The sequence below is a fragment of the Homo sapiens genome, chromosome 19, assembly GCF_000001405.40.
Source record: "Homo sapiens chromosome 19, GRCh38.p14 Primary Assembly".
NCBI classification, from domain to species: Eukaryota; Metazoa; Chordata; class Mammalia; order Primates; family Hominidae; genus Homo; species Homo sapiens.
The window spans coordinates 18,513,972-18,526,859 of NC_000019.10; the positions used below are offsets into that span (position 1 = coordinate 18,513,972).

Genomic DNA, 12,888 nt, shown 5'->3' on the forward strand with positions numbered 1-12,888 from the left:
ATTCCACAAACTTGACCAGAACTCGAAGCCCTACCCCTTCACAAACACATCTGCTGGCCTGGCTGCCTCAGTCAGGAGCCGTGTCTCCACTTGGTCAGGAGGGTCCAGCCCTGGAGGATATAATTAGCATCAGACTCTGGGGCCCACTGCCAGGTCAGATGGAGGCGGGAGGTCTCTAGGACGCTTTTATCTGGGAGAATAGTCTCCCTGCGGATGGTTTATTTGGACACCAGCTTTTTTCATTAAAAAGCAAAGTGACAGCCGGGCACGGTGGCTCGCACCTGTTAATCCCAGCACTTTGGGAGGCCAAGGCAAGCAGATCACGAGGTCAAGAGATCGAGACCATCCTGGCTAACACGGTGAAACCCCATCTCTACTAAAAATACAAAAAAATTAGCCGGGTGTGGTGACGGGCGCCTGTAGTCCCAGCTACTCAGAAGGCTGAGGCAGGAGAATGGCGTGAACCTGGGAGGCAGAGTTTGCAGTGAGCTGAGATCACACCACTGCACTCCAGCCTGGGCAACAGAGTGAGACTCCATCTCAAAAAAAAAAAAAAAAAAAAAAGCAAAGTGACAAAATAACCACATGTCATGGCCATCTCTGTCATTCACTGCACCTGCAGGTCACAGGCCATTTGGATGCATTGTTCTACATTTCCCTTTGGACTCTGTGGCTGACTACACAGGTGAGATTGAAGACAACCCTGTCCATGAGATTCAGAGACCAAGGAGAAAGTGTAACAACTGAATTCATCAAGGCAGAAAGCACAACGGGGAGCAAGACCCTAAAACAAAGGACACAGAAGAGGCCAAACCCAAAATGTGCAGTATCAATCACAAGTCTGTGCCCTGCCAGGTGCCTTAAACAAGGCTGATGCCCCCTGAGAAGCAGACCTCTGAAAACTAGGGTCTCTTCCCTGGGCAGCTGCTTCGAGCCCAGGGCTACGTGGAGCAGAGAGGCAATCCTGTTTGTCAGGCTGGCGGGTTCCTCCCTCAAGGTCTCCCAGTCGGGATGTCACAATCCGGGTGTGATGTCAAAACTGCTTCAAAGGTGATGAACTACGGCCTTGGCCGTGAGTCAACAGAGGGGTGGGTTTCCGAGTGAGCGCTGCCTGCTGTTTACACACAATCACAGCCACGGCAACCAGCTGAAAGCACAGTCAAGGGTCACGATGCCGAGTGCAGAGCTCAGTCCCTCACACACACTCTTGCCTGCCTCCTGCAGAGACTGCCAGCTCGGGCCCACAGACTCAAGCTGGCTTGTCCTCTTCTAGCACCTTCTGGGAGAATCCACCCAGAACCACCAAATGCTCACCTTGAAACACACAGGCAAACCATACCCTGGTGCACCAGTGGGCCACTCCTGATGCCTCCTGGCAGCCCACCTGTTCCACCCCAGCCCATCCAGCGGCCACAGTCCTTCAGAGGTGGCAGAGCCCAGGCCATGACACTTGGATTCTGAGTTCTCAGCTACTTCCCAGCTGGGAGATCCTGCCTGGTGATTCAGCCTCCTCCAGAGTCTCCACCCATATCCTCACCTAAGAAATGGGAACTGCTCCCACCACGGGGAAGATGGGATGAAATGCAGTACTGTGGGTGGCACAGCCAGCACTGGCGGGGTGGGGCACCCTCCACAGGTGTAGGTGCCCATCACCTTTCCACTTTCTTGGGGGAGGGGGTCCAGCATAGCCAGCAACCGGAGGAATCTGCTCAGTCACTCACGTCACCAAGGTTCGGGCCTCTTGGGGACGCGGAAAGTTGCATTTAAGTGAGGCTCAGGACCCCAGTGTGACTCCCCTTCAGGTCAAGACCCCTGCAACCTCAAAAGATAGTTTGGCTTGAGCACTCAAGAGGCAGTATGGGCCAGTGAGGACAGCCGAGCACCCTTGGACAGGTGATGCCGCCTCTCAGAGCCTCATCTGTCCCTGTCGTGAAGGGGGACCATAAACTTCCTCTCCCGGCAAGTGGTCAAGATGATGTGCACCCATGGGAAGGGATGGGGGTCTAGCCCAGGGCCAACAGGGGCAGCACTAGCACTAGGTCTCTAAAGAAGGCCTTCTCTGAAAAGCAGGCAGGGCTGGCAAGAAGCTGCCCTGCTCAGAACCAAGGGGGGTGCCCACCGGGAAGGGAAGATAAGTCGGGCCTCTGGGGCCCTGCTGTGAGAATGGATCACAGGCTGAAGTAAGGCTCCTCCTGCCACCGGTGCCAAGGGTGACATCCACACAGCCCACCCACTTAGCAGCAGACAGTAGCCCCCAGCACAGCTCCAGGGCCACCCAGAAGAGCTGAGTACTGGCCACAGGCCTGAGGCACAGCACCCCTCTACCTCCACTCCCTTCACACCCTTCCCTGCGACAGCACACCGGCCATGCCTGGGACCCTTCCCCCAGCAGACTGCAGCTCCGTGTCACCTGCTGGAAGCACTCACTGACTGCCCCACCTATACCCCTCACCATCATTAACGTTGACCGCCGGTGAGTTACTCTTGCTAATTTCTGTGCCATCCTTCCTGTTCATGAATTCTGTCTCCTGCCACTAGAATGTCAGCTCGTGACATGAGGGGCCCATCTCAATCACTGGTGGGTATCCCGCCCTGAGCCATGGGCACTGACCAGAGGCTCAATCATACCAGGTTAGATGAGTGATCTGGAGTCTCCCACCGGCTCTGTACGAACCTCCAGGCAGGGACCAGCCCCCCAGGAGCCAGCTCTGGGTCCATTCACTAAGGGCTCAGAGCACAAGAGGGGTCAGGTTATTCTCCTCCCAAGAGGAAGAGAATCTGGAACTCAGAAAGGGTCAGGCACCAGGATCCTCACAGCCCTGAGAGAAGGATCTGGAACTTGAGGGAGCAGGTCAAGTACTGCTGACCCCAGTTCTGAGAAGGATTCGGAGATGGGAGGGGTCAGGCACTCACCCATGGCCTCAGGAGGCAGGTGGAGCTGAGATTCAAATGGAGAGAGGCTCTAATCCCCAGGCCTCCTGAAGCACTTCCTGGGCCCTCATTTTTTTCTGAACAACGGTGTGCTCCTCTCCACCAAGGAGCTTGTGATCCAAAAGAGGTCACTCAGCAACAGAGCCCATGCAAACACCTAATGATGAACTACAACCCAAGTGCCCCTGGGAGGGTCACTTCCTCAGACTGACCAGAGGCTACTTTTCCAAGCAGGTGAGTAACACTGTCCTGGAAGGAGGGGGTGTGTCCATGCTTCCACTCTCCCCTCTCCCAGAAATCACTCATCAGAGCAAACCGGGAGATCCACAAGAACAGCCACCTCACAACCCATGAAGGTTTCGTTTTGTTTTTTGACACAGGGTCTCCCTCTGTTACCCAGGCTGGAGTGCAGTGGTGCGATCTCGGTTCACTGCAACCTCCATCTCCCAGATTCTCCTGCCTCAGCCTCCCAAGTAGCTGGGATTACAGGCATGCACCACCACGCCTGGCTAATTTTTTTGTATTTTTAGTAGAGACAGGTTTTCACCATATTGTCCAGGCTGGTCTCAAACTCCTGACCTCAAGGGATCCTCCCACCTCAGCCTCCCAAAGTGCTGGGATTACAGGTGTGAGCCACCACGCCCGGCCATCCCATGCAGGTTTTTATATTCAAAGAAAAACAGACACGTAGTTCATGCCTGTAAGCCCAGCACTTTGGGAGGCCGACACAGGAGGATCCCTTAAGCCCAGGAGTTCAAGACCAGCTTAGGCAAAATGGGGAAACCCCATCTCTACAAAAAAAAATTTTTTTTAATTAAAAGAAAAAGAAAAAAACTGGGCCAGGCACAATGGCTCATGCCTGTAGTCCCGGCACTCTGGGCAGCTGAGGTGGGAAGATCACTTAAGCCCAGGAGTTCAAGGCCGCAGTGAGCTATGATCACACCACTGTACTCCAGCCTGGGTGACAGAGTAAGACCTTGTCTCAAAAAAAAAAAAAAAAGAAGGAGAAGAAGAAGAAAAGAAAAGAGAAAAACTAGGCCAGGCACGAAGGCTCACTCCTATAATCCCAGCACTTTGGGAGGCCAAGGGAGGAGGATCACCTGAGGTCAGGAGTTCGAGACCAGCCTGACCAACATGGTAAAACCCCGTCTCCACTAAAAGTACAAAATTTGTAGGGCATGGTGGTGCATGCCTGTAATCCCAGCTATTTGGGAGGCTGAGGTTGCAGTGAGCCAAGATAACACCATTACACTCCAGCCTAGCAACAAGAGTGAAACTCTGTCTCAAAAAACAACAACAACAACAACAAAAACTAGGCCAGGCACGATGGCTCACTCTTGTAATTACAGCACTTTGGGAGGCTGAGGCAGGGAAATCACTTGAGCCCCGGCGTTTGAAATCAGCCTTGGCAACATAGTGAGACCCCGTCTCTACAAAAAAATTTAAAACTTAGCCAGGTGCAGTGGTGCACACCTGTGGCCCCAGCTACTCAGGAGACTGAAGCAGGAGGGTGGTAGTTCGAGGCTGCAGTGAGCTATGATCATGCCATTGCACTCCAGCCTGGACAATGGAGCAAAACCCTGTCTCAAAAAAAAAAAAAAAGGGGGCCCAGCGTGGCGACTCAAGCTTATAATCCCAGCACTTTGGGAGGCTGAGGCAGATGGATCACTTGAGGGGTCAGGAGTTTGAGACCATCCTGACCACATGGTAAAACCCCATCTCTACCAAAAATACAAAAATTAGCCAGGCACGGTGATGCGTGCCTGTAATCCCAGCTACTTGGTAGGCTGAGGCAGGAGAATCACTTGAACCCGGGAGGCGGAGGTTGCAGTGAGCTGAGATCACGCCAGCGCAATCCAGCTTGGGCGACAGGGCAAGACCCTGTCTCAAAAAAAAAAAAGGAAAGAAAAACTGCACAAAGTCCAAGGTAGAGTGAGAAGGCCAGCAGCTATGTGTACTGCTGCGCCTTTACCTTCCACCACGCTGCTCCAGCTGGCTACCAGGTCAACACCAGAGCCCTCTGGGGAGAGAAAACAGGAGGGCTTCTACCTGGGCTGTTCCCAGAGCTAGGATTACCTGCTCCTGGGAGCCACAGAGAAAGTTCCACAGCAAGTTCCTTTCTAGCCCCTGCCACACCTGAATTTGTAAAAGCCTCTTCACAATTAAAAACTAAAAATAGGCCGGGCACGGTTGGTCACGCCTGTAATCCCAGCACTTTGGGAGGCCGAGGTGGGCAGATCACAAAGTCAGGAGATCGAAACCATCCTGGCTAACACGAAAAATCGCACCACTGCACTCCAGCCTGGACAACAGAGCAAGACTCCGTCTCAAAAAAAAAAAAAAGAAATTAAAAATAAAAGCCCTCTCCACAAGTTGCAATTGGCAAACTATATAACCACAGCATCGAGGAATACAAAACTCTGGCTTCTGGGTGATAGAGTTGTCCACATGAGAGTTTGTCCATAACCAGTATATTTCTCTGGTTACACAATCAAGTTCTTCAAGCCACCTTCCTCAAGCTCACTACCCAAAACCACAGAGAGCACGGAGCTGCCGTGCCTTAGAAAAGTCCATCCACTATACTGCCCCATGGGCAAGATTAAATTCGAAAGTAGCCAAGCTGGCTGGGAGCAGTGGCTCATGCCTGTAGTCCCAGCACTTTTAGAGGCTGAGAAGGACGGATCACTGGAGGTCAGGAGTTCAAGACCAGCCTGGCCAACATGGCAAAACCCTGTCTCTACTAAAAATACAAAAATTAGCCGGGTGTGGTGGCACGTGCCTGTAGTCCCAGCTACTCGGGAGGCTGAGGCAGGAGAATCGCTTGAACCCGGGAGGCAGAAGCTGCAGTGAGCCGGGATCGCGCCACCTCAATGAAGCCTGGGCAGCAGAGTGAAACTCCATCTCAAAAAAAAAAAAAAAAAAGAAAGAAAGAAAGAAAGAAAGTGGCCAAGCCACTTAAATTACCAGACAGCTTTTTGAGAAAAATCCAAGTTTGAATCACCCCAAAATATAATCCAGCCAGCCAAGTTGCTCTGGATGGCTTGGAAAAGTTCTTCTAGGAAGCCCCTCCTGGCTGGTCAACACACTGCCCTACACAGCTGGGCTCCGAGCCAGAGGAGTTTAACAGTCCACAGTTACCTTCACCCTAACATGAGGAAGATCCAGCTTAGAGAGGGGATGTAACCAATACCCTAAAGTAAAAATAGCAGTGTGACAGCATGAGGTGGACACACAGGCGGACCTTCTGGACTGAAAAGCAAGCGAGGGCAGCATCAGAGAGAAGGCGGAGCTCCTGGTTCCTAAAGCACAGAAGACAGTGGTGACCAGGTACCAAGTCCATCGTAGTTATATGACTCACGAGCTCTCCCCCAGCTGTTTCTAGGAAAGCCTGCCTTCCTGCAGGACAAGTCAGAATCGCTCAGGGAAAAAGACCCAGGGCCAGAATTCTACCAGGAAGAGAGGCTCTGGCTGGTCATGGGCCAGCAGCTGCTGTCGCTGCCACTGTCTCCTCCTCACCTGCAGGGGCGCCTTAGCCTCATCTTGGGGAGTCTTTTTGACAAGGTGCGAACTTGCTCTTTCAAAAAAAAATGAAATCCTCATTCCATGAAGGGGAAAACTGCGACACCGGGACAGGGAGGAAATTGCCCAAAGACATGGGAAGAAGCACGGAAGGGGTGGGCACCGGGAGAGTGGTGGAAACGAAACAGGGGGAAGAAATTCTCGGCTTAGCTAATGGAGCTGAACAAGTTCGGGGCAGGAAGAAAGCCACATTCCTTCCTAGTTAGTCTCCCTCCTCCCCCGCCCGCGGCACCCCCCCACCCCCACCATCAACAGTATACACAAACACACACACACGCAGGGAGCAGGGCTCTCTGAGCCCGAGACTAGACCCACCCCCACTCCCTTTAGGGCAATGAAGCCCCCAATTTCCAGAAAAGGAGTTACAAGGTTCCTAAACCACTTCCCCTCGGGACCTGACCACTGGTCATCTGCAACTTCTGACCCAGCACAGACGGGGGGAGGGGGGGCCATGACACAAACAGAAATGAAAAAGGCAGGTTTCTGACCACGGCCCCAGATGCGCCCCAAAGTCAGGCCCAAGAGAACATACACAGCAGCCTCCCCTCCCCACCACCAGCCAGGTGGCAGAACCGAAACGCCTCAAACTTCCCCCAGATGGGCCCAAATCGGCCTCTGAGAAGTTCCAGAGTCAGCGGCCAGATGTGGTAGCCAGAGCTTCCTCCTGGGTGGCAGGGATCCCCTACATGTGCCCTGAGGATAACATCACAGCCGCCCCCAACACTTCCACTCTCCAAGGAACCTCTCTCCGGAGAGAGAGGGTCACCTGGGGGTAAGGGGAGCAGAAAGCTGGGACAAGCTGTCAGTTTCTGCCCAAACTCCCCGTCCCAAGAACCAAAGTGGCCCAACCTGAGTGGCTTCATCGGAACGCGTCAAAGCCAGCCCCCAGCTGCAAAGCCTTCCACCCAGACAGAACAGACCCCCACAAGTGCCTCGCTGACCACCCCCTGCCGGGCACCCAGACGATCGCTGCTTCCCAGGAGGACAGACACAGTCACCCCCACCAACGGCGCTGCCCCGGCCCCAGATGGAAAAGCCCCCAGCTTCCCCCTATCACGGTGCCGGGACCGTGCGGCCCACCGCCTCCTCGCCCCGCCGCCAGGTGCGCAAACTGGACCCTGCCCAGGTGCCCAGCAGGCCAGAAAGGCCCCGGACGCCGCCAGGTGCCGACACCGACGCCCCCCGGGCCCGGCGCGCGAGTCTGGGCCCCTCAGCAGCCCCGGGCCACCCGCCTGTATTGCCTCCTAGTGCTGAGAAGGAACGCGGTTCTCAGCGCTCCAGGCCGGACTGGCGCCCACTCCGCGCCCCGCCGGCCCAGGGACCCGCGAGCAGCACCACAGACCTAGCGTCTCCGAGCCCGGACGCCTCAGTGAGGGGAGCGCGAGGCCGGCCCGCGTCCGGACGTTCCCCACTGGCGCGCCGGGCGCCATGCCACTCACCTGTCTGGCGCGGTAGCTCTCGAAGGCCCTCAGGGCACTGTCGGTGAGCTTCACGTGGAACACCGACACCTTGCTGCCGTCGCTAACCCGCCCGCACGACAGCCCGTAGCTCCTATCCTCCTTCAGCGCCGCCATCTTGCGACCATCTCTCCCCCGCGCCCCCTTCCCGGCTCCAGCGCCGCCACGCCGGCCACGCCCCGCCCCGCCGCCCGCTGACGCGCTGCATTATTCATGAGACGCGGCTGGCCACGCCCCCCGAGTCCGACCAAACCAACAGTCGCCGCCACACCGGCAGGCAGCGCACTACATTATTCAGGAGACGCGCCTGGCCACGCCCCATGAGGGCCCCACAAGGCCCACAGTCAACGCCCCAAGTTGTTGCATATTCATAAGGCACTTATGGCCCCGCCTCTTCAGGCCCTAGGGGTGGCCACTTCCGTGAACGAACTCCGCCTCAACACGCGCACCCCTCCAGGCCCCGCCTCCATAGTATTATACATAACCCTGACTCAGCCAGCCAGGCGCGTCAAAGCCCCGCCCCTACAGCCGCTGACGTGATGCATTATTTATGAGATCTCTACAGTCTTCCGTCTTTGGCTTCTGTGGAAAGCCGCAGAGAGGGCGTGGAGGGGCGGAGCCGGCTCGAAACACGTGGGTGGGTAGGCCCCGCCGCGGGCCGGGAGGGTGGGCGTGGCTATGTAAACGGAGCGCGCGCGTTGGACGCTGGGTTGGACACATAAGGCATCCCTTAGGCGGGGTGGATGGGACTTCCACCCAGGGAAGGTGCTGGACCGGTAGGTGGAAGAGGAGCTGGTAAACTTTTTCTTATGAGATGAGTACTTTTAATAGGATAAAATCCTACATCCCCACAGTCCCTGAGCGATGGTGCAGTCCAGCTTCATTTTCCTATTTTAATTTTTTTTTGAGGGGTCTTGCTGTGTTGCCCAGGCTGGAGTGCAATGGCGCCATCATGGCTCACTGCACCCTCGACCTCCTGAACTCAAACTGATCCTCCTTGTCTGGGTCTGCTGAAATGCTAGGATTACAGGAGTGAGCCACCAAGCCCAGACTTCCATTTTCTTTTCTTTTCTTTTTTTTTTTTTTTGAGACGGAGTCTTGCTCATCAGCCCAGACTGGAGAACAGTGGCGCTATCTCGGCTCAATGCAACCATCGTCTCCTGAATTCAAGCGATTCTCCTGTCTCAGCCTCTCGAGTAGCTGGGATTACAGGCGCCCGCCATCATGCCCAGCTAATTTTTGTATTTTAGTAGAGATGGGGTTTCACCATGTTGACCAGGCTGGTCTTGAACTCCTGACCTCAGGTGATCCGCGCGCCTCGCCCTCCCAAAGTGCTAGGATTACAGGCGTGAGCCACCTCCCCCAGTTTTTGTTTGTTTGTTTGTTTTTAGACAGAGTTTCGATTTCCTTGCCCAGGCTGGAGTGCAGTGGTGTGATCTCGGCTCACTGCAACCACCGCCTCCTGGATTCAAGCAATTCTCCTGCCTCAGCCTCCCGAGTAGTAGCTGGGACTGCAGGCGCCCATCACAACGCCCAGCTAATTTTTTGTATTTTTAGTAGAGACGGGATTTCACCATGTTAGTCAGGCTGGTCTGGAACTCCTGACCTCAAGTGATGCACCCACCTCGGCCTCCCAAAGTGCTGGGATTACAAGCATGAGCCACTGTGCCCGGCCAGCCTTCCATTTTCTAAAAAGCAACTTCATTGAGTCACATTTTACATATAAAATATATTCCCAATGCTGTGTAGCTGTCACCACTATCTAATTTCCGAGATTTTTTTTTCTTTTTCTTTGAGACAGAGTTTCACTCTTGTTGCCCAACCTGGAGTGCAACGGTGCCATCTCAGCTCGTTGCAACCTCCGCCTCCCAGGTTCAAGCGATTCTCCTGCCTCAGCCTCCCGAGTAGCTGGGATTACAGATGCCCACCACCACGCCCAGCTAATTTTTGTATTTTCAGTAGAGACGGGGTTTCACCATATTGATCAGGTCTCTAACTCCCAACCTCAGGTGATCCGCCTGCCTAGGGCTACCAAAGTGCTGGGACTACAGGCGTGAGCCACTGCGCCTGGCCAAGGGAGGAGCTGGCTTGGAGGGCCAACCAGCTCGCTCTGTGATCTTGTGAAAGGCACCTCCTGCTTCTGAGCCTCTGTGGATTCACTTCGGAAACAGGAAACAGCAATAAGAGCAGTACTCAGGACCTAGCAAGGTGTCTCACACCTGAAATCCCAGCATTTTGGGATGCCATGACGGGAGGATCGCTTGCACCCAAGGGCTTGAGACCAGCCTGGGTAACAGGGCTAAGCCCCCTCTCTACAAAAAAATTTAAAAAATTAAAAAAATTAGCCGGGCATGGTGGAGCACCCCTGTGGTCCCAGCTACTCCGGAGGCTGACATGGGAGGCTCTCTCAAGCCCATGGGAGGTTGAGGCTGTAGTGAACTATGTTCGCACCACTATATTCCAGCACTCCAGCCTGAGTGACAGAGTAAGACCCTGTCTCCAAAAAAAAAAAAAAAAAAAAAAAAAAAAAGCCAGGCCCCCAGTGGCTCACGCCTGTAATCCCAGCACTTTTGAAGGCCGAGGGGGCTGGATCATGAGGTCAGGAGTTCGAGACCACCACGACCAACATGGTGAAACCCCGTCTCTGCTAAAAACACTAAAATTAGCCAGGCATGGTGGCACACGCCTGTAATCCCAGCTACTCAGAAGGCTGAGGCAGGAGAATAGCTTGGACCCAGGAAGCAGAGCTTGCAGTGAGCCGAGATCGTGCCACTGCACTCCAGCCTGGGTGACAGAGCAAGACTCGGTCCCAAAAAAAAAAAGTATTTCTCCACGTCTACTTTACATTTGATTCCCCAGTGGATCTCAATGAGACCCCAGGAAAAATAAGGCAGAACTTATCAGACGTTGGCATGCTCTGCAGAAGTTTCTTTTTTTTTTTTTTTTTTGAGACGGAGTCTCACTCTGTCGCCCAGGCTGGAGTGCAGTGGCACAATCTCGGGTTCACTGCAGCCTCCGCCTCCTGGGTCCAAGCGATTCTCCTGCCTCAGCCGCCCGAGTAGCTCGGGTTACAGGCACGTGCCACCACGCCTGGCTAATTTTTTGTATATTTAGTAGACGGGGTTTCACCGTGTTAGCCAGGATGGTCTCGATCTCCTGACCTCATGATCCGATGATCCGCCTGCCTCAGCCTCCCAAAGTGCTGGGATTACAGGCGTGAGCCACCATGCCTGGCCTTTTTTTTTTTTTTTTTTTTTGGAGACAAGTTCTCACTCTGTCACCCAGGCTGGAGTGCAGTGGCATGATCTCGGCTCACTGCAGCCTCCAACTCCTGGGCTCAACCCATCCTCCCACCTCAGCCTCCCAAGTAGCTGAAATTACAGGCATGCTCCACCATACTGGGCCAATCTTTTGTATTTTTTGAAGAGATGAGATTTTTCCATGTTGCCCAGGCTGGTCTCTAACTCCTGGGTTCAAAAGATCCTGTCGCCTAGCCTCCCAAAGTGCTAGGAAGTGCTAGGATTATAGGCCATAAGCCACTGCACCTGGCCGTCTGCAGACATTTTTGTTTCTTTGTTTTGAGACGGAGTTTTGCTCTTGTTGCCCAGGCTGGAGTGCAGTGGCACGATCTCGGCTCACTGCAACCTCTGCCTCCTGGTTCAAGTGATTCTCCTGCCTCAGCCTCCTGAGTAGCTGGGATTACAGGCACACGCCACCACACCCAGCTAATTTTGTATTTTTAGTAGAGACGGGATTTCACCATGTAGGTCTCGAACTCCTGACCTCAAGTGATCCACCCGCCTCGGCCTCCCAAAGTGGTGGGATTACAGGCGTGAGCCACCGTGTCCGGCTTTGTCTGCAGAAATTTTTAAGAACTAGGTTACCCATGGCCAGGCATGGTGGCTCACGCCTGTAATCTCAGCACTTTGGGAGGCCGAGGCGGGTGGATCACTTGAGGTCAGGAGATCGAAACCATCCTGGCTAACACAGTGAAACCCCGTCTCTACTAAAAATACAAAAAAATTAGCCAGGCATTGTGGCAGGCGCCTGTAGGCCCAGCTACTCCGGAGGCTGAGGCAGGAGAATGGCGTGAACCTGGGAGGCGGAGTTTGCAGTGAGCCGAGATCGCGCCACTGCACTCCAGCCTGGGTGACACAGCGAGACTCCATCTCAAAAAAAAAAAAAAAGGAACTAGGTCACCCACAATATTGCAAGTGAGTTGATCACCCTGGGGTGCCCCCCGGACACATAGTCCACCTGGTGAGCTCTCTGATGGAAGCAGTGACCCCACCCTGCCCCTTACCCCGTGTGTGGTCTTGGACACATCTTGCCATCTCTGTTCCTCAGTTTGCTCATCCAGAAAACAGGGAGTGTAACAGCATCTACCTGATTCTTCTGTGACAATGACATGAGACAAGGACATGTGTAGCTCGCCCTGTTCAAGTGTTCCAGAATTGTGAGCTCGCGTACACATACAAAATTCCTTCCGCAGTGCTCACTTCCAATTCACAGCCCATGGCAAGTCGGGTAAGGCCCTCCTGAGTCACTGCTCAAGGCCAGGTATATGGGAGGTGTTAGTAAATGCTTTGGTATGAAAGACAAAGCCATCCCCGTCGTTCTCCAAAGGTACCACACATGGTCCAGCTGGCATACCTTGCACAGCTATGCCATCCACAAGGGATACCCTTCACCACCCATTAAAGGCATCCCATGCCTTCAACACAACTGCAGCGTCACACGTGCTGGATGCTCCAGCTCACCACCCACAACCAGCTCAGACCTTTGAGGATGAAGTGGCCGAGTGAATAACCACATTCAATTTCACACTCCTAGTCTGGCCATTCGGGGCCTCTCTCCTCCCCGTCCCCGCACCATGTCATAACTTGCATGTTCTAGGCAGCTCCGGGCCTATTTCTTTTTT

General features: G+C 54.2%; 1 protein-coding gene across 2 annotated transcripts in view, besides 6 other annotated features; it reads right to left on the reverse strand.

Moving 5' to 3' along the window:
* Positions 1-8,099, reverse strand: part of ELL (elongation factor for RNA polymerase II) — a 79,408-nt gene extending 71,309 nt beyond the window's left edge. For both annotated transcript variants that reach the window (NM_006532.4, XM_017027335.2), the window contains exon 1: positions 7,950-8,099. In NM_006532.4, coding sequence (NP_006523.1) covers positions 7,950-8,084 — 135 coding nt within the window. In that variant the 5' untranslated portion in view covers positions 8,085-8,099. The remainder of the gene's footprint in view (positions 1-7,949) is intronic.
* Positions 6,783-6,832: a silencer, noted in NCBI's record as "silent region_10405". NCBI's record gives its function as "represses an Ori minimal core promoter by ATAC-STARR-seq in GM12878 lymphoblastoid cells {active_cell/tissue: GM12878}" and the evidence as "EXISTENCE:reporter gene assay evidence [ECO:0000049][PMID:35858748]".
* Positions 7,088-7,603: an enhancer, noted in NCBI's record as "H3K27ac-H3K4me1 hESC enhancer chr19:18631869-18632384 (GRCh37/hg19 assembly coordinates)". NCBI's record gives its function as "activates a minimal SCP1, AML or CMV promoter by ChIP-STARR-seq in primed H9 embryonic stem cells {active_cell/tissue: H9 hESC(primed)}" and the evidence as "EXISTENCE:reporter gene assay evidence [ECO:0000049][PMID:30033119]".
* Positions 7,563-7,872: a silencer, noted in NCBI's record as "silent region_10406". NCBI's record gives its function as "represses an Ori minimal core promoter by ATAC-STARR-seq in GM12878 lymphoblastoid cells {active_cell/tissue: GM12878}" and the evidence as "EXISTENCE:reporter gene assay evidence [ECO:0000049][PMID:35858748]".
* Positions 7,563-8,119: a biological region, named in NCBI's record as "OCT4-H3K27ac-H3K4me1 hESC enhancer GRCh37_chr19:18632385-18632900".
* Positions 7,604-8,119: an enhancer, noted in NCBI's record as "OCT4-H3K27ac-H3K4me1 hESC enhancer chr19:18632385-18632900 (GRCh37/hg19 assembly coordinates)". NCBI's record gives its function as "activates a minimal SCP1, AML or CMV promoter by ChIP-STARR-seq in naive and primed H9 embryonic stem cells {active_cell/tissue: H9 hESC(naive and primed)}" and the evidence as "EXISTENCE:reporter gene assay evidence [ECO:0000049][PMID:30033119]".
* Positions 8,263-8,592: an enhancer, noted in NCBI's record as "active region_14325". NCBI's record gives its function as "activates an Ori minimal core promoter by ATAC-STARR-seq in GM12878 lymphoblastoid cells {active_cell/tissue: GM12878}" and the evidence as "EXISTENCE:reporter gene assay evidence [ECO:0000049][PMID:35858748]".